At 34.2% G+C, this 22,217-nt stretch overlaps 1 long non-coding RNA gene across 1 annotated transcript in view; it reads right to left on the reverse strand.

Moving 5' to 3' along the window:
- Positions 1-348: 348 nt before the first annotated feature.
- Positions 349-22,217, reverse strand: part of LINC01807 (long intergenic non-protein coding RNA 1807) — a 128,137-nt gene continuing 106,268 nt past the window's right edge. The window contains exons 3-4 of the long non-coding RNA NR_151716.1: positions 5,773-5,883; positions 349-588 (exon numbers count right to left, since the gene is read on the reverse strand). This is a non-coding gene — a long non-coding RNA (long intergenic non-protein coding RNA 1807). The remainder of the gene's footprint in view (positions 589-5,772; positions 5,884-22,217) is intronic.

Consider the following 22,217-nt stretch of genomic DNA (forward strand, 5'->3'; position numbering starts at 1 on the left):
CATCCCTTGTAAGTTGGATTCCTAGGTATTTTATTCTCTTTGAAGCAATTATGAATGGGAGTTCACTCATAATTTGGCTCTCTGCTTGTCTGTTATTGGTGTATAAGAATGCTTGTGATTTTTGTACATTGATTTTGTAACCTGAGACTTTGCTGAAGTTGCTTATCAGCTTAAGGAGATTTTGGGCTGAGACAATGGGGTTTTCTAGATATACAATCATGTCATCTGCAAACAGGGACAATTTGACTTCCTCTTTTCCTAATTGAATACCCTTTATTTCTTTCTCCTGCCTAATTGCCCTGGCCAGAACTTCCAACACTATGTTGAATAGGAGTGGTGAGAGAGGGCTTTTTTAAAAATGCCAATTTTATTTAAGAAGAATTACCTTACTGAAACATTAAAATACAGTGTTAAGTTTCAAGCCTTAAACATACATACATATTTTTAATATGCCAAGGATGAAATGAGAAGTTTGCCTAAAGCATTTTTATTACAATCCAAGTATGATGGTCATTCCATGGAAGAATATCTGTACTTGTTTGAGTTGCAGGCTGAGCTAACTCTTCTTCCATGGAACATGATTTTCACCTGAAAAAAATAACACAGAGACAAACTAGGTTTACTCAGGCTTGGATATCCAGCAGAAATTTTCTAGAAAACAAACCAAAGGTAGGTAGCTGTCAAGGGTAAAAATGATAGTATTTATTGCCAATGGAAAATTTGAACTTTCCAGTAAAACTTAGAACCTTGTAAAATGTTTATTGGCAACTATGAAACTGATGGCTTCTCATACATGAACAGTTTTCTGAAGAGACTGATGGAGATGTTAACAATAGTGATTTTTTCTTGATGTTCTATGATGAAATATGCCAACTTTTAGGAGATCTGAATATCTCACTGAATATTTCCAAATGACTGATGCATCATTATTTTAGGGACGCACAGATCTCAAAGGCAGACCGTAGCTTCTTATAATAGCAATCCGGAACGACAAAAACAAAACAAAACAAAAACAAACAAACAAACAAAAAAACACATCGGTTGGAGTTTGGAGTAATCCAAAGACAGGCTTCAGAAGTTCTCATTCTTCTAGGAGAGTTCACAGAGAAATCACTTCTTTCTCTGGCACTGAAATACAGCAAAATATGTGCAGTGTTTCTGCCCTGTGAAGCCTAGTTGAGACTCAGAGTTCAGAGTTTTCACTGGAAGCTGGACACGTAGGCACAATGACCAGCTACTGCTACTAAAATTCCAGACTCCCTAAAGGAAAGCAGTTGTTCAGTGCCCCAGGTGGGCAAAACAGTTTTATTAATGTAGGGAACATTTCAAAAGCCAAGTTCCCAGATGCGAACCAAGGCCCAACCCTGAAAGTAAGCCTTTTTAATCGGAGCAAATCAGGTCTGCTGTATTAACTCCTTACCGCATAATAGTGCTACACAGGCAGCGCGCGGTGGCTCACGCCTGTAATCCCAGCACTTTGGGAGGCGAGGCGGGTGGATCACGAGGTCAGGAAATCGAGACCATCCTGGCCAAAACGGTGAAACCCCGTCTCTACTAAAAATACAAAAAAAATTAGCCAGGCGTGGTGGTGAGCGCCTGTAGTCCCAGCTACGTGGGAGGCTGAGGCAGGAGAATGGTGTGAACCCGGGAGGCAGAGCTTGCAATTAGCCAAGATCGCGCCATTACATTCCAGCCTGGGCAACAAGGCAAGATTCCGTCTCAAAAAAAAAAAAAAAAAAAGAGTGCTACACAGTAATAGGTGAAAAATACATTCTGAGCACAAGATAAGAATAGATTTTTAATGTAACACACAATGTACAATTTATGATAGAGATTCGGACTCCATTTTGAAGTTAACCTTTAAGAAACCATGCTTGTTGAGTTTTTTGACTTACTTTCAAAGAAGAATATCTACAATTATTTGCAAAAACTATTAAAAGACTTCATCTTTTTCCAATTAGACATCTTTGTGAGGGCAGATTTCCTTCATACACTTCAGTGAAAACAACATAGCATAGCGAATTGAATTCAGAAGCAGATGTGAGAATCTAACTCTCTTCCATTAAGACAGACATTAAAGACATTTGCAAAGGAGAAAACCAGGCTTCTCATTAAATCTTGTTTTGGAAAACATAATTATTTTATCTATAAAAGTATATTACTCATGTTAGCATATAATTGATTTATCTTTCCTATTTAAGAATGAATTGATACATACATATTTTTTAAAATTTCTGCTTTAATTTCCAATATCATAATACAATACCGATATCAAAGAAATAAACTACATAAATAAAAACTATTTGGGGTCTTCAGTAAATTTTAGAGTGTAAACATGTCTTCAGGCCAACAGATTCGAGAAATGCTGGCTTAGACTACTAAGGTATAAATTCAGGGAATTTATAATCAATCAATCAGTATTGTTAATTCATCTTTAATAAAATGTCAGTTCAGTAAGAATTTTGAGAGATGTGGAAGCTGGAATTGGGCTTGAGTCTATGACAGTCAACGAATACTCAGAATGTAAGTCTAAAAGAGAAATTTGCCAAAATTCAAATGAACAGTGAAGGGTGGTAGATACAATATTCTGGAATATACAATTTAAATGGAAGTGACCTTCCGTTTAAGGATAAATATACAGGGGAAAATATAGAGTTTTCAAATATTTCCGCTTGCTATACTCAATAAGACAGATGACCACTTCAGAGAGAAATCTGACAAAATTTAACAAAAGTGTAGATACATATGCCATGAAATCCAGCAATTCTACTTCTCGGAATGTATTCATGATAAAATTTATACACAAGTGCAAAAGATATTTGTGTGAAGATGATATTCATTGAAGTACAATTTGTAACAGCAAAATAAATTCTGTCCCTCAGCAAGGTCAGAAATAAATAGAGTTTGTTAATATAATGGAATTTTATTTGCAATTTAAAATAAATGAACCAGTCTTATGTGTATTAAGTTAATAAGCCTGAAGTCTTGTCATAAGTATAAAAGAAGTTTGCGAGACTTCTTGCTATAAAACTATAGCAAGATATCATTTATGCAGTTGTTCAAAATATATGATATAAAGCATAAGCAAAGTTTTAAAATACTTGCAAAAATAGGACTCAATGTGAACATTATGATTTATGAAATATTTTTCTTTTATTTTTTCTGTTTATTCCTTTTTTCTATGATTAACATAAATTACTCTTCTTACTCTTATTTTTATTTCTACTGTTATACTTTCTCCTGTCATTACTAATTTCACGTGTATATAAAACATTTCAACATTGGTATTTACTTTCTAAGAAAATTGCATTTGATTTTCAAGACAATCAGATGAGTGAACCCCATTTTTCAGTGGAGAAGTCAGACTTAGTGTCTTAATCACCCCAGGAGACATGAAGTGACATTCCCAAGGTCACATACCCCATAGGTGATAGAGTCAGAATAAAACACAGGTTTAATGATGATAAATTGATGGTTTTTTTACTTGCTATGTCTGCATGTTAGAATGACATACACATGATAATTCAGTATTTTTATTGGCAGATAAAAATAATAATACCAAGACATGAATAATCAATGCTTACAAAACATTATCTTCTAGGCATGGCTTAGGTGCATTATATTAATCACTTGATCCTCACAACTTTGCAAGGAATCTACTATTATTATCTGACTATGACAGATGAGGAAACAGGTGCAGAACATTTGAGAAATTGTCCAAAGCTCTGTAGAGAGAAGTGGCTGTGCTGGAATTTGAACCCAGGGAGTATGACTCTAGAGGCCACACTCCTAGCTACTATAATACATCATCCTGCCTCATAAGACAGCTTTTTTGTTTCAAATCCTCCCAGAAGAACTGATAAAGTGCAGAATTCTCTGAAGATGCTTTTACACTCTGACGCAATTTTAATGAAAGGCATTCTGTGAGGACTTCTTTTTTATTATTATTATTATCCTTTAAGTTTTAGGGTACATGTGCACAACGTGCAGGTTTGTTACGTATGTATACATGTGCCACGTTGGTGTGCTGCACCCATTAACTCGTCATTTAGCATTAGGTATATCACCTAATGCTATCCCTCCCTCCTCCCCCTACCCCACAACAGTCCCCAGTGTGTGATGTTCCCCTTCCTGTGTCCATGTGTTCTCATTGTTCAATAATGTGGCACATATACACCAGGGAATATTATGCAGCCATAAAAAAGTTCTATACTTTTTTTTCTTTCCTTAAAAAAATCTTTAAATTTATCTTGGGGTGTGTGTGTGTGTGTATACAATTATATATATATATAATATATTTATATATTATATATATAATAAATATTTATTTTTATATAATATATGATATAAAATATATATTTATATTTATTATTTATATATATATTTTATATATATATGTGTGAAGCTTTTTTTAGTAGTTACATGACATTCTATTTATGGTGTATTCTAATTTCACTAGTCAACTTTTAGTGGATTATATAGCTTATTAAAAGTGTTTGACTAAGTTACTATTATCAACAAAGTTTCAATGAATTTTACACTTAAAATTTGCATGCATGCATGTAAGCAAGCTTATTTGTGGGATGAATTTATAGTGCAATCTGGGTTAACTCCTGGGGAGATAACATTTATTTAAATAATCTATTTCTTGTTCATGGCTGTCAACCTATGTGATAGTGATGCTGAAGCTCATTCTGGTGACTTTGTAAGTGGGTGTGGATTATTAGCTCTGTGACAACCCATTGCCTCCCCATTGTCTTCTTTGCCTCTTAATTCTGCAAAGTGTGGAGTCTCCTTAACTGGTAGTGGGATGGGAAAGCAATTATTCTTTTTAATTGGCTTGCCTCCTAGGCTGCAATGGAGTTCTCCAGCGATCCAGATCATTACTAGTGCAGATCACTAATCTTGATATTTATTTGATCCAATAATATAGCATTTGCCATCTCACAATGTTCTCCATGCCACTAAAGAACAATTTGAGTGGTTCTTGAGAGACCTCTGGCTAGGCAAGAGAGGTAGAAGATGGATTTAAAATGCTTTGCCAAGCACAACTTGATTGCATTTTTTTTTGGTCCAGAAATCTAGAGTCAAAGAATGCTATATCTACAGTTGGCATTGAGTACTAAGACTTCAAAAATACAAAACCAAAAATATTAATTTTTCTGCAATTCCCAACACTGTATTTTGTTGTCTTTTAAAATCATATTCTACTTTATAAGTTGTAAATATACAAAAATACCTCAGTTAAGGCATTTTCCATAGCAGATTACAACATAAAAATATAAATGTGGCATGAAAGTATTTAAAGTGAGAGTAATGAGTGTTTAAAAAAAGAAATGTTGGCATTAATACCACCACCCACTTTATTAGATACTATATTCAAGATAAAAAAATTTCAAAGTTTACTGACCAGCAAAGGTTAAATATAATGTTCCTCTTGTTGCTACCTGTCTATGGAGTGAACTGGATAAGTGCTTGTGATCTATTTAAAGGGATAAAACTTATATTATAAAAAGAGGTCAATGAAGGAAAACAGGGTGACTGTCAATTTCAGATAGGAAACCACATGCCATCTTTGACTTTGAAATGTGTAGTAAGAGCTGTTGAACATCAAGCAGGGGGTACATTCATAGTTTTTATTCTCTTTGCAAAATATTTCTTTGATAATTTTGTCATTGTTGGACTTTTATAAATACATGTTTTCCTGTAGCAGTTTGTCCTAAAAGCAAGGTGCAATTACATGCAAATAATGAAATATTTCTATCTACTTACCTATCTATCCATCTAGCCGTCCATATATATCTTTGACAAGAATGCCACCTATTTCAATGTATTTTCCTTAATAATTCCACAATGGATCAGTATGTATATTGTTAAGTAGTTCTGGGGAAAATAAAGAAAGAAAACATGTATTAGTTTCTCCTATTAACCTAATTGTTACTAGGTGGTCTGCACTTTTAATCTCATTTAACCCTCACCCAGCACTGTAAGAGGCGATCATTAGCCCATCATTTATTAATAAGAAAACGTAGACTGAGAGAAATTAACTAATTTTTACAAGAGCACAAAAATTATAGGAGGCACAGAAGAATTTGAACCCAGTTGTGTCTATTTCTCACCCCCTTGGTCTTGTCTCTTCTCCACGTATGTATAAAAATGATGGCAATTAATTATGGTGACCACCAATTTTTTTATCACTGGCAAAGTACCAGGTCTTATGCTAAGTGCTGCATTGACACTGTCTCTAACAATCCTCACTAAGAAACTGTTATCGTTATCACTTTATAAAGGGAGGGGTGATGTCCGGGAAAATAAGACTGATTTCCCAAATCCACACAGAGAAGGAAAGAAGAAGGAATTAAACTCTTTGTTAAGTAGTTTTTCTGTTGGGTTGATGGAGGTTACAATTTATGGAAAGCAGAAACAGAATGAGAAGCAACTGCTCACTTTTAACATAAAGGGTTATGTCTCCATTACATTAATTTTACACTAACTTTGTATTTTTGCTGACTATAATTTATAGTATGTTTTAAAATATTCTTGTTTTGGACCAAACACTTATTTCTCTAATCCTTTTGAATCCTAATAGAGATTACTTGATATTCTACTATTATGAAAATAGTCCTGTGAAAAAAAGAATTATGGTTGCATTTACAGTATCAGTGATCTTACCATTCTCATCATTGTTATGCTTTGAAAACCACCTTTTCTATAGTTTGAGATTCTCTTTTCACTTGAAAGTCATAAGTATCTGAAATAATCCACATAAACACTACATAGTGTTCCCTTAAGATAGTGATTGAATTTCTGCACAAGAATTGAAAGATATATATGTGAAAAAGTTAAACTATTGGAGATATTTTATTTCCTTTTATTAAATTGTGTAATGCATTAGGATAAAAAGGTATATTTTATACATTCTTGAAGAATTTTTCCACCAATGCAATGAGATAAGATATTTTATAAAATGTCCTGTTAGATAAGGCACTTTCAAGTTTGATCCGTGTGATACAATATACTTTAATTGCTGTCGTTAGCAAGGAGTAACACATTTGTTTGTGAAATTGTGGGACTGATCTGTAAATGAAAATACAGTACTTCAGAAAGTTGTATAAATAAGTGTTTAAATGTCGTGGTTCATAAAAATGTTTCATCATTCTATCCTTTACCAAGTTTTATACAGATTATAGATAAAATTAATAGAAGTTTATTTTAAAATCAGTTAGAAGAAATTTGCATTCAGTATTCCCTTCTGCCATCCAGTTTCCTTGACTTGTCTTTTCAGCTGTCTCCAGGGCCCCAAGCACCGAGTCTTCTTTTTGGCAATGCTTTCATGATAGATCTTAGAGCCCCTGCTCTCAGTTAGGACGTTTAATTAGTACATGTATGGAGGTAAGTTCCAGGAGATAAATAAGGTGAAAAGAAACCCACCGCATCCATTAGTCCACCGTACAATTTAATGTATTTGTATTTATTTTATGCTCTGCTATGAAGAAATGACATCAGAATGATGAGTTAGAAAAATTCATTCTTTCATTCAGTATCGATATCTCCATCCTCACTTGTATCACTGGCTTGGCTGGCATTTTGTAGTTACTGAGCGCCATATATTTTAAAATTGTAACTAAGCTCCATACAGCTTCTGGGTACTGTGAAGTTGGCAACCTCTAGACCGGGTTCTAAATGAAGCTCACTATCTCCTGGATATTATGGGTCAATTGTCCTCAATAGAAATCACTGTAAGAGGGGATGGAGCCACTGGATAACTCCCTGCAAGTAATTTTACTACTCTGGGTATTAGTTTAATCATTGGAATATATGTATGGGAAGGATTGTATCTTTATATATCTAAGATTTTATGATTCTAAATGATGAATGTAGGGACTAAAGATTTTAACAGGTAATAGACACACTGCACAACAGGAGAGAAGGCTTCAATTTGGAAAACTCCAATTTGTGGATCAGAACTAATAGACATGCCATACTTACAAATTGTGTAATTTTTACAAATTGTGTAATTTAACATTGTGAGCAGCAGTGCTTACGTAGAAATATACAGCATTGAATGCATATGCTAGAAAAGAAGAAAAACCTAAAATCAATAGTCTAGTGCCCACCTTAGAAAACTAGAGAATGAAGAGCAATATAAGCCTAAAGCAAGCTGAAGAAAAGAAATAGTAAGAATTAGGACGGAAATCAATGAAACTAAAAACATTAAATCAGCGACAATTTTTTTTAAGTTGGTTCTTTCTTTGATAATGTCAATAAAATTGATGCATGTTTAGCCAGAATAATGAAGAAAAAAAAGAGGAAACACAAATTGATAATTGATTTCTTGTGTTTGATTGAAAAACATTTACAAATAAAAAACTAAAAATTTTATTTGCTGCTGCTTTGATGAAAGATATGCAATAATATGAATGGAGGCACAGTTTTATTTACTAGTATTTGAAATTCATGAAGACAAACACCCACTTAACTACTTTTAAGAATTCCATGTCTTCCTGAGTGTAATTTGTGTCTTTCATTGGAGGGATAAAATGACACTAAAATGTTTTGCTTTTCTTACTTAAATGCCACATCAGAAATATATCTTGTGTTATAAAAAGTCACAGTTAATAAAAATGTATTTCATATTGACATTCTAAATTATAATTGCAGCCTATAAAGTTTATTTTTTATTATTAAAAGTTTCTACTTTATAGTCATTTTCACTATAACGTATACTATGGAAAAGACAAATTCTCAGTGACAGTGTTCTGGAAGCCTCTTTCTTTTTTATCTAGAAGCTACCTGTAATTCTCACACACACACACACACACACACACACACACACACACACACACACACACACAGAGAGAGAGAGAGTTAATTCCATCTTACAATACTTCAGAAAAGTGAATTATATTGTCACCTTCTAGGCAATATTCTCACACTCTGCCTCTTACTGTAGGGTGAGTCAACAGCTGAATTGCTTCAAAAAGAAGCTCAAGTCTTGTCTCCTTTCACTACATTCGGACAGTTTGCTCTTACATTCTAGTATACTAGGTTCTAAGGAAGAGTATTGGGATCAAAGAATAAAGTGATTCAAAGAAGGAAGAATAGTCAGTGAGATGTTACAGCAAACATCAGTTCACATCAGTAAGACTAAGATAAACAGAACAAGATGACCATTTAAGAAAATTAAGTGACCATTAACTTGGATGTAAAATAAACTTAAAATGTTGGTTGGAATTGGCTTCTTTGAATTCAGTGCAATAAGCTAATTTCATTCTATGACTGTGAAATGAGTTTTGATACCATATCAGCTTGATGAAGAAAAATAACTAAAGATATAAACTCCATCATTCTTATTGCCAGTCTCATCATATTTAGTTTGCTTCTTTGCTTTTCATATAATTCATCAATGTACAAAGGACAGATGAGTCGTGCCTTTTATAAAATTAGAAAAACTATTAGATATATATTTCAAGATTGGTAAAAGTAAATTTTAAGTGTTCTCAACACAAAGAAATGATGTGAGGTGGCCTGATTCAATCACTGTACAATATAAAGCATATTGTATCTAACATTGTATATAATTATTACTTGTTAATTAAAAATAAAATATTTTTAAAAGCACTGTTAGAAAGATTTATTATAGCACTTTATATTGAGATTCAAATAAATAACTATAATGGGTAGTATTATGTTTGATAACATAACCTATCTAGTTCTTTTATGTAGGGAACCTGCATTTTTATGAAGCAGATTTAGTCCATGGGAAGAAAGCATGAGGCAGCAAGAACATTGTCAGAATCTGGATGAGATAGCCACTGAAAATAACTCATTCAATAATAGTATTATCTCAATAGAAACTGAATTGTTAATATTTTAAGTATTTTAGCAATTCAGAATGTCATAATACAAGGCCTCCTCATTTTATATGTATGAGATCTTCAGAATACAATTCTGAAAATAAGATATCAATGGCTGTAAAAAAAAAAAAAGATAAAAGCCAGGTATGGTGGGTCATGCCTGTAATCCTAGCATTTTGGGAGGCTGAGCCCGACAGATCACCTGAGGTCAGGAGTTTGGGACCAGCCTGGCCAACATGGTGAAACCTCGTCTCTACTAATCTCTACTAAAAATACAGAAATTAGCTGGGCCTTGTGGCAGGCTCCTCTAATCCCAGCTACTCAGGAGGCTGAGGCAGGAGAATTTCTTGAGCCCAGAAGGTGGGGTTTGCAGTGAGCCGAGATGGCACTACTGCACTCCAGCCTGGGCAACAGAGCAAGACTCCCTTTCAAAAAAAAAGGACATCTAGTAAGAAAATATAAAAACACATGCACCTTCTAGGTAGATGATGTAAATATGTAAATACAAGCACAACTATAAAAATTTTCCTGGGGCAAATAGAGGAAACTTAAGACTTGTAGTTAAGCTAACTCCACTATTCACTACAGGTATGAGAAAGATCAGACCATAACCAACATATCACATTCAGGGAAAAATATATAACTCAATTTGGGCCAATGAAACCCAATAGACATTAGCTGAGGACTTTAGAAGTGAAGGTTCATTTCTTTTCCTCAAAAGCTACCTAAAAAAAGATTCATTTTCTTGATGATAATGCATTGGAAAAAAGTGTAATAATGATAAAAACAAATGTTCGCCGGACCATTCTCTGTGTGCCTGGTGCTATCATATGTGCTGTTGATGCAGGAACTCAGTCTTCACAGTCAGGTTGTGTATGAAGTGGGTGCTATTATTCTGTACATTTTACACTTGGGGAAACTTAGAATTCGTTAACTATAGTAAGACCTCACTTCATGTCGTTGATAGGCTCTCAGAAACTGCAACTTTAGGTGAAATGAGGTATAATGCAACCAATGATTTTTCTCATCTATGTCATAACAAAAAGCATGAAAAGAAACAATGTTATTTGAGGATGGGGTGTACATTGTTTGGTTAAAGTGGCAGTTTCCAAGAACCTATCAGTGATGTGAAGGAAGGACTTACTATGATCCAAAATTGAGTGGCAAGGAAGTAGAGATGGGATTTGATCCCTTAAGCCTTATTAAGCCTTATTCCTCCTGTAAAGGAGTCCGCATCCTTTACAGTTGTGCTGTAGTAATTCTCATCAAGTACTAGTACAACCATATATATCACGTGATGTTTCTCTACACTGGAAATCAAAAATATTCAAATACAGAATGCTACATTCCTAGACAGAATAACTCAATATTATTAGAATGCCATTTTATATTATTATATGCTTAATATAATATGGATAAGATAATCAAGAGTTTTCCTGCCCACCTCCGCAAAAAAGTAGACTATGAAACTAACTAATACACATAATCTTAAAAAGAAGAAATATGGCCTACTGGTGATTTAAAACTATCTTAAAACCACAATCACTGAGCAATATGATATCAGTGCAAGCATAAAGATAGATGAGTATATAAATTCCAGAAAGATGTGTGCTTCTTCTAGGTAAGTAAAGACCAATAGCAATTTTTGTACCATGGGGCAGTGGTCCAATATTGGTATAAAACCAGTTGCCATAGTTAGAGAGACTTTTCTAAGACTAGAAATTATATATGTATATGTATATGTATATGTATATGTATATGTATATGTATATGTATAGTCAAACTTATAAGGACTGTGTGGGTGAAAACATCCCATAAGCAAAGTTAATTCTACCAACTAGAGTAAGTGGCTTCTAGTGATGAGGCCAGAAAGCAGAAAGACATCTTGTATTTTCATGGAGCATGGGATGAAGAACTCTTTGGGAGGAAGGATCCTGACCTCACAGTCATGATAGCTCAAATCAGAGGAAAAGAGAAAATATTAAAGCTATGTCCCAGTTCCCACCCAGCTCAATTCCAGCTAAGATTCAAAAGAAAAGTTCCTCGATACAGGTGCCTATGGGGGTAAAAAGGTATTTATTTCTGTCTCTACTGGTTTTTAAAATGTGTCATGTCTGCCATAAAATAAAATGTTTATCACGCAGGTGAACAAGCAAGGAAATGTAACCTATAGTCATAAAAAGAAACCACCTATATAGGGAGATGTATGGAAGGCTCAGCTATTGAAATTACCAGAAAAGAACTTTAAAATAACCCATCTAAAAGTTAGATAACAAATGTGAACAGAGGACTTTCAGCAGAGAGAAGTAACATAAAAATGAACCAAATGGAAATTTTAAAAATCATAAAGTAGAGAGCAACAATTCAGCCTGTGGGCTTAAAAACAGAATGCATCAGCAGAGGAAAGAGTCAGTGAATTTAAGTAAAGCATAGCACAAATTATCCAATATGAAACACAATTGGAAAAAAATAGAAAAGGGAAAAAAATAGAAAAGGGAAAAACAGAAACAGTCTGAAGTTGTTAAACAATATCAAGTGTTTTAATATTTGCTCTATGGGAGTTCCAAAATGAGAGGAAAAAAAGAATAGCCCAGAGGCAATATTTAGGAAATAATAGCTGAAGATTTCACAAAATTAACAAAATACATCAGGACACAGAGACAGGAGAACAAATAAACATTTTAAAACCCTACAATTTACTACATTGTAGTCAAGCTGCTGAAAACCGAAGATAAAGACAACATATTTAAACTAGCCAGATACAATAGGGTAATTCCATTCAATGAAACAAAAATAAGAATATTTATCATCAGAAATTACAAAACCTAGGAGACAATAGCATAAAGTTTTTAAAGTGCTGAAAAGGAAGCATATAACTAGAATTCTATAACCAGTGAAATTATCTTCTAAAACTAAAAGGAAAAAATATATTTCAGAAAAAGGTGAAATAATTCATCATCATGAAATGTGCACTATGATAAATACTAAACGAAGTTATGTCTGAAGAGAAATGATTCCAGAAGACTAATTTTGAAAGAAGAAATGAAGAGTCAAAGTAATAATAAATACATGTAAAAATGCTTTCTAAGAATTTCATTAAGAGATGATTGATTCTTTTAAGAAAATATAGCATGCCTGTAATCCCAGCACTTTGGGAGGCCAAGGTGGGTGGATTAACTGAGATCAGGAGTTTGAGACCAGCCTGACCGAAATGGTGAAACCCTCTCTCTATTAAATACAAAAAATTAGCCAGGCGTGGTGGTGCATGCATGTAATCCCAGCTACCTGGGAGGCTGAGGCAGGAGAATCGCTTGAACCCCTGAGGCGGAGGTTGTAGTGAGCCAAGATTGCACCACTGCACTCCAGCCTGGGCAACAAGAGGGAAACTCCATCTCAAAAAAAAAAAAAGGAAAGAAAGAGAGAAAGAAAGAAAGAAAAAGAAAGAAAGGAAAGAAAAGAAAGAAAGAAAGAAAGAAAGAAAGAAAGAAAGAAAGAAAAAGAAAGAAAGAAAGAAAGAAAAAGAAGGAAAGAAAGAAAGAAAGAAAATATAGTAGGAAAATATTGTATGGTTTATAATATAACTAGAAGAAGAATATATGCCAATCTTCACAGAAAGAGTGAGAGGGGTTAAATGGAGGATGGTTTTTGTGCAATTCTTACATTATTTGTAAAATGGTAAACTATCAATTCAAGGTATACTGTGATGAACTCAGGATTCAATATATATAATATATATTTATAACATATATATTGATGGATAGATTGTAAAATAATCTACTAAAGGTACTGTCGGGAAACATCACACTAAGAATTTGTGGCCAATAAAGCACGTCATTGTAAACAAACAAAATTTAAAGAGATACAGGGCTAATAAGCAAATAAAACAGTTTTTTAAAGTGATCTATTCACAAGATCGTACCCTTTCCAGCCATTCCAGGGACAAACTGGGATGCCATTGCTCCCAACAGTTACCTGAGAAGGGAGTTTGGAGATCATAATTGGTTTGAGATCACCACTGCCAAAGAACTTATAAAGCTCCAAAATTCTTTGATCATAGGGGTCAATTCTAAAATTCCTGGGTTTAGAAATCAAGATACTTGCTTTATACTTCCCACTGAAACACACCAAAAAGTTATGGATTCCAACCCAAAGGAGCTAGCTGGACTGCCCAAGCCCTATATTATGTCCAGGCATGAATTGATGAGCCCTGCTGCTAGCCACAGAGAATACATATTTTAATATCTAGCATAAATAATCTCTGAAAATAGAATTCAAGGAAATGGAGCTAACAATGCAATAGAGAACATAAAATGAAATATGAAAAGTTTCCAATAAATTCTAAAAAGATAGAAAAAGAGAAAGAAAAGAAGAAAGAACATATGGAAGAGAAAACGAGTTGTGAGGTGGTTGATGTAAACAAGTCACTACAGCAACTACATTAACGTGACAGTAGATTCTCTGATGACCTCTATGTTGCCTGCTTTCTGGTGTTCATGCCCTGGTATGATCCACCTACCCCTTTCTTGAGTGTGGGAGACCTATAAATTGCTTCTAATGAATATGCAAAGATGATGAGGTTCCACTCCCATGATTATGTTATGTTACACAAAAACCCACCTTGTTATTGTTAGCACACTTGCTCTATAGACTCTCTCTCCCTAGCTAGGTTTGAAGACTAAGTGACCATATTGGGAGGCTCACTTGTTAAGGAGCCGATAGAAACCTCTAGGAGCTAGAGCAACCTCCAATCAACAACCAGCAAAAAGCCACAACCCTCATTCCTGTAACTACAAGTAAACAAATTCTGCAAACACCTTGAGAAAGCTCAGAAGTGGATTCTTTCCCAATTGGGCCTCCAGATGAGAACACAACATTGCTGACACCTTGACTGCAACCTTGTAAAGCTCTCAGCAGAAGACCAGACTAAGCCACGCACAAACTCCTCATACACAGATAACAAATGTGTGTTGTCTTAAGCTATTAGTTTGTGGTAATTTGTTAGGCAGCAATATATTACTAATATGTGTATGTGGATAAACATTTCAGTTAGAAGGTAGAGATTGTTAGGTTGCATTTAAAAGAAAAAGGTCCGTTGTAGGGACATGGAGGAAGCTGGAAACCATCATTCTCAGCAAAGTATCGCAAGGACAAAAAACCAAACACCGCATGTTCTCAGTCATAGGTGGGAATTGAACAATGAGAACACATGGACGCAGGAAGGGGAACATCACACACCGGGGCCTGTTGTGGGGTGGGGGGAGGAGGTAGGGATAGCATTAGGAGATATACCTAATGTTAAATGACGAGTTAATGGGTGCAGCACACCAACATGGCGCATGTACACATATGTAACTAACCTGCACGTTGTGCACATGTACCCTAGAACTTAAAGTATAATAATAAAAAAAAGGCTGTTTATAAGACATCCACTTTAACTAGAAAGAGGGAGATACGTTGAAAGTAAAAAGACGAAAAAAAAAGGCAAAAACTAATCGTAGGGGAAATCTAATAACAAGAAAGCCAGTGTGACTATGTTAGTATCAGATAAAGTAGACTTCAAGATAAAGGCTATTACTCAAAATGATAATTTTATAATGTCAAAAAGGTCAATCTATAAAGGAGACATAATAAAAGTTTGTATACATTTAGTGACATAGCCTAAAAATACTGAAACAAAAAATTAATGAGAAAACAGAAAAGCATATAAATACATCATCTCTAATAATAATTGAAGAAAAAAGTTGATTCTGTTTGAGTAATTGCTACAAGTAGACAAAGAATATATACATATGTAAAAGATTGGGACATCTCTATTAACGAGTTTGGACTAACTGATGCTTATAGAACCCTACTCTCAAAGATAACAGAATAAACATTAATTTCAGGCAGACATAGAGTAGTAAAAAAATAAGCTAAGACTTAATAAATTTTAAATATTTAAGTTTTATATAATCTGATCTCTGATCACAATGAAATTAAACTAGAAATCAATAGTTAAAAGATAATCAAAAAATATCCCAGATGCTTGTAAATTAGGCAACACACTTATAAAACCATATGGGCCAACACACACACAAAAACCTGTGTATGAATGTTCATAGCAGCATTATGTATGGTAGTCAAGAAAGGAAATTCCCAAATGTCTGCCAGATGAAGAATAAAGAAAATATGAGCTATATACAATGCAATATTATTTGGCAATAAAAATGAAGTACTGATAGATGCTACAACATGAATGAACCTCAAAAACGTTGTGCTAAGTGAAAGAAGCCAGTCACAAAACAGTGCATATTGTATGATTACATTAATATAAAATGTCCAGAATAGACAAATCCACAGAAACAGAAAGAGATTAGCAGTTGCCAGCGTTTGCAGGAAAGAAGGAATAGGAAATGACTGCTAATTGGGACAAGATTTCTTTTGGGGGTGATGAAAATATTCTGAAATTAGATTTAATGATGGTTGTACTTCTGGGCATTTTATACCAAAAAGGATTAATTTTATTATGAGTCAAATATATCTTAATAAAGCTATTGTTGTTTTATTCACAATGAAAATTATTAAATATTTTGAATTGAAAAATAACCACTTTAGAATGTATGGGATGAAGTTAAGTCAGTGCTTAAAAACAAACACATAGATTTAAATGCACATATTTAAGAAAGGAAATGTTTAAAATAATTTATCTAAGCTTCCACCTCAGGAAGAAACAAAACAGATTCAATCAAAGACAGGAAATAAAAAAATAAGAACAAATAAAATTAAACAGAAAACAGACAAATAATAGTAACATGAACAAAACTAAATGTAGGTTCTTACATAAATTGATAAACTTGATAAATTTCTAGCCGAACATCAATAAAAAGACAAAAAGCACAGATTAACAATACTAAAGAAAGAGGGACGTAACTACATGCATTATAAAAGGTTAATAAAGTAATATTATAAAACAAATGTATGCCAACAAATTCAACAATGCAGATGAAAGAAATAAACTCCCTGAAAAACACAACTTACCAAAATGGACACAAAAATTTAGGATGCAAGTGTAGTTAATATTAAAACATCTTTGTGTAATGGAATCTATTTAAAAACTAAAAATAAAAATAGAAGAAATAATAAGGGAAAGACTGATCAATTCGCCTACCTGAATAGTAACGATGCCTATAACAATTTATGCCAGATATTTATCATTTCTGATACTTTTCATTACTTCTTGAAGATCTGAGTTTTCATTTGGCAATATTTCCCTTCACCCTAAAGAACTTAGTTTGGCACTTCTTGTAGTGCATATTTCAGGAAAAGTTTCCTTAGTGTTATTTTATCTGAAAATATTATATTTTACCTTGTATTATATAAAAATAAAAATAAAAATAGTTTTGTTTTTCCTGGGTATAGAATGCTGGGTTAACAGTTATAATCAATCCATTTGTCTTGTGCGTGTGTGTGTGTGTGTGTGTGTGTGTGTACATATACATGTATATCATGTATATCATTGGAATTTAATAAACAGTATGCTTAATTGTATTCATTTGATCTTATTTCATGGCTTAATTTGTAGTTTCCCTTTTTCATTAAAAAAAGTGTATCGAGTCTCCTCTATGTGCCAAGATTTTCCAGAATCTTAAGATGTATCAGAGAACAAACAAGGCAAAAATATCTGCCCTTATAGAACTTACATTCTAGTGGTTGCCAATCACTCTATTTTCCCCTTTTAAATTAGTATGTTCTCTTCTATTATTTCATTCCTTTAGTAGTGAAATTACTTTCCCCATCATTTGTAATTATACACACAGTTCTCTGTTATTATGTGAAAACACAATGCTGCCTATTTGTGTAATGGAGAACCACCAAGATGCTCCTTATAAACCACAATTTAACCCCATACAATAAGATGATGTCTTACAATAGTCTTTCTTACTCCACCTCATCTTCTCTACTGTTGATGAGATCTGTGAAATACTTTTACATCTTCTCCTCCACCTTAACCCAACTCCTAAGTCTCCCCAAGATAGTTCAATTTGTTCTAGGCTATCATAATCTCCCTTTCATTACAATCCATTTTCTTCAATTACTGATAGTTTGAATTCTCAGCTGTGAATTACCTGTCTTTTCACTGATGTGTTTCTCAAGTATTTTTCTCAAGTGGTTTAGTTGAAATCAACATCTAACCACACATACCTATCTTTCTTTTACTAGATATACTTTTTTTGATATTATCCTTTTCTCTCAGCAATCTGCAAGTGGAATTTACTGTCATTTACTTTTCAATAGTTCAAAAACATGTCTGATTCCATTTGAATTATTTTTAGGAGCTCACATTTTCCATCTAGAAGTTTCCATATATTTTTCTCTTTATCCTTACGAGGTCAAGAATCTTGTTAGCATATATCTTTCTCATTACTACTTCAAGAAGCTTAATGCAGTTTTTTCATTCTGTACAAGCCAATCTTTCTCCAGTTAATGGAAGCATCCTTCAGTCATTAAGATAGTTATTGTGTATCTCCCATCACACAGTTTCCTTTGTATAAAACGTTTCCTTTTCACCTTCTAAAACTCTTGTGACTTAGATGCTAAGTTTCTGAAATGGATCCTCCAGATTTCATAGCTTTCCCTTCAAATTTTCTCTTTTTTCATGTTTTGGTCTGTACTTTGAGATAATATTCTTTCGTTCACCTTTTCAGGCCACTAGTTTTAGTTGTAACAATAATCATTCCATATTTCAACTCACCTACTGAATTTTCCACCTATTGGGTATAATAGATATGGTTCTGGTGATGGGTACACTAAAAGCTCACACTTCACCACTATGCAATATATCCATGTAACACAACTGTACTTGTACCCCTAAATGAATAAAAGTAGATTTTTAAAAATTAAATTAAATTTTTATTCTAGGAAGTCTTATTTTGTGCTGAGCTGCAATCATTGCAGTTTTTTTTTTTGTTTTTTTTTTTTTTTTTTTTTTTTTTTACCATATTGTTGTCCTATATTATTGCTTGAAACCTCAGCTGTCTCCATCAGAGATTATTTGTTGGTTGGTGAGTTGGTTGATTATTTGTTGGTTGGTGAATTTGTTGATTGGTTTTTGCCTGGTGATTGCCCTATTTAACCTCCCCTTGCTGGCTGCTTGGATTCCAAGTATGTGTGATTATGATGTTTTCCTGTGATCTCTTTAGGAATCACCTTTGGTTGCTGAAGCATCCAAAGTGGAAGAACTCTCAGAGGAAACGGAAGTTAAATCACCATCTTCTTCTGTGGCTAAACCTATAACAGTAAGAGGGCAGGAGGAAAATTCCTGACTATGACCTGGATTTCTCCTACTCTCTTAGCCTCTGGAGTAGGGATAACTCAATTCAACTTTTCTGCTCTGACTTGTATTTTGAAGGCCAAGGAAACAAGGCCCATGCACGCATGTGCGCGCGCACCTCCCCACCCCCCACACACACTCAGGTTCATTGTTTTCCCAATTCCCCAGCAGTTCACATATTTCTGTAGACCAAGTCCTTTCCAGTATCCCCACAATCTTTTTTCAGAGGCTATCTTACCATGATCTCACCAAGCCCATGGCAGGATAGCCCTTCACAAGTTTCTTCCTAAGGATTCCTCAACCTGCAGAGCTAAAGACTTCTGTCCGATCTGGGAATCTACTGCCTTTCTCAGCCATTTGGACAGGTGAGCCAGAGGTATTCTTGTTTAGAATGAAGAGAAAGTATGATGCTTTCTCCAAACATTTCCAGAATCCCTGTCTTTTATCTAAGTTCTTTCCTTATAATTTGCATTAAGATTTGTCAATATATAGGTTAAAATGATATAAAATTTATCTTAATAATTCTTCATTACTGGGGAAGTCATCAATTCAATATATACAATTTTTTTCTGTGTTCCTTTTATAAATTGCCTTCTCGTGTCTATAGTTCAATTTTCTGCTATCTATGAAATCAAAGAAAAATGCAACAAAATATATAACTAAATGCTAAGTGCTTTCAATGCTGTAGAAAATTATCTTAAGATGTCTCAATCTTCCTTGGAGGAAGCAGACAGATGCCTGCATAATTGAGACTATGTGTGGCTTCTCAATTCTTTCTAGAAATGAGAAAAAAGCAAGACAGTGTTATAGACTTTGAATGGGTCAATGTCAACACTAATGTTTTAAAGTATTTGTAAGAAGATCAGAACCACTGATACAAGTAACCAGAGAAAGGGATATTTTTGCCTGAGTTTTTACAAGTACAGCTGTAAAACAAACAACAGGCATGGTCAAACAAATGACCATAAACAAGCAAAATTCCACTAAATAAAAGAAGAAATAAGCAAGGATATAGAAAAAAATTGGAAAAATGGTGTTAATAAGCTACGTTGCTTGTTCTGTTCCATGACAATAATCTGAGTATTTATGTCTGTCAAGAATAGTTATTAGCACTTTCTTGGACACAAGCATTGTGATCTAAATTAATAAGCACACATAATTTAGTCCCATATTTTCATTAATTTATAGTTTACTGATTTGAGAACAGAGACATTTTATATATAGGACCAAGAAATATGTTGCATATCCTTCTCGTTTTTTGGAGGCAAAGCAGTACTATAAAATATCATATTTCCCTATCATTTTTTGCCATCATTATACCACAGAAAACAGGTTGATGCAGTGAAACTTGCAAATTCCCCATACCATGTATAATTAATCCTCTAAGAAAGAGCTGAAAGAAAATAGTATAATAAATGTAAAGGAGAAGTCAATGCTATAAACATCTAATTTCATGAAATGAAATATTTCTACTTTTTAAAATAAAAGCTCTTTTATTACTAGAACACTTTGGAAGTGATGTTGTCTCCAATTTCAAAGGAAAAGAGCGTAAAACAAAACAGAGAAAAGAAATGTAATAGCAAATTAATGGAAAAGCCATATATATAACTAACTGCAATATGTATCATAAGTGAAAGGATTGTGGATAAGAAAGCTCAGCCTCCTCAGACTTGTGTGTGATTTGACAGGGTGAATTCTGAGCTTGTGAGGTCTTGGGATTTAATTTCATGGCATGCATAAAAGTAATGCAAACCCATTCATCCTAGAAACAAAACACTTGCCATCACAGAGGCTGCCTGAGCCATGTAGACTTATTACAGTCATGTCTTTGGAGAGATGCCTCAGCACAGCTATGTACACTTAAAGTGTGAAACTAGGGCCATTTCTAAGCTGACAAAATTTTATAAAACCAGATATTTCATTTTTCCTAGGCATATGTAATCCTCCCTCTGCTATTTCCAGGAGCTGAACTCTCAGTCTGAAGCCAAACATGTGGTCTTACCTTACAAAATTCAAAACTGGGATTTTATTTTATTTTATTTATTTTTTGAGACAAAGTCTCACTCTGTTGCCCAGACTGGAGTGCAGTGGCGTGATCTCAGCTCACTGCAACCTCTGCCTCCTGGGTTCAAGGGATTCTCCTGCCTCAGCCAACCAAGTAGCTAGGATTACAGGCATGTGCCACCACACCCAGCTAATTTTTGTATTTTTAGTAGAGACGGAGTTTCACTATGTTGGCCAGGCTGCTCTTGAACTCCTGACTTCAGGTGATCCACCCATCTCAGCCTCCCTAAGTGCTGGGATTACAGGGGTAAGCCACTGTGCCCGGCCAAGAGTAGAGTTTTAATAATTGCAGTTTCCATTTATCCATTCATTCACTTAACACATATTTAGTAAATTTCTTCCTTGTGTATGATGTAAGGCTAAGTAAAAGTTTGTCAAAAATAAACGAGATGGACATAATCTTTGTCTCTTGGAGCTTTTGTCTAAGGACAGTAGGTGGGGTCGATGTTATGCAAATGATTAAAACTGTGGCAAGTAATAAAGGGAGAAGTACAAGGTATTGTAAAAATATATAGCCTGAGTCCTATAGGAATAACTAGGTAGGCTTATCAGATGTGATATTTAAGTGTCTTTCTTTAGGATATATAGGATGTGGCCAGGTGAAGGTTAGGATGAAGAGTTTTGTTTGTCTGTTTGTTTGTTTCAGCAAATAGAAGAGCATGGCAAAGTCCCTAAAGTGAAGAGCAGCAGGTGATCTGCAAGGTTTCATCCTCTGGAGCATTGAGGGCCACAATGGCACAAGTTGAGGCAGGAACTGAGTCTGTATTATGCAAGGCGTTACAGCCTGGACTATGGTTTCAGACCATTACTGAAAGTAACAGGATACTGCTAAATTAGGTTAGGTTCTAAATTGAGAAGTGTTGGAGATTAGCATTTGAAAAGGATGTACCTGACTTGTAAGTAAAGATTGGGTTGGAGGAATAAAATCTCAGGGGTGTGATGCTGGTTAGAGGCTATTGCCATAGGCAAAGTGAAAATGATGGTGG

Source organism: Homo sapiens, chromosome 2 (genome assembly GCF_000001405.40).
Source record: "Homo sapiens chromosome 2, GRCh38.p14 Primary Assembly".
Lineage (NCBI taxonomy): Eukaryota > Metazoa > Chordata > Mammalia > Primates > Hominidae > Homo > Homo sapiens.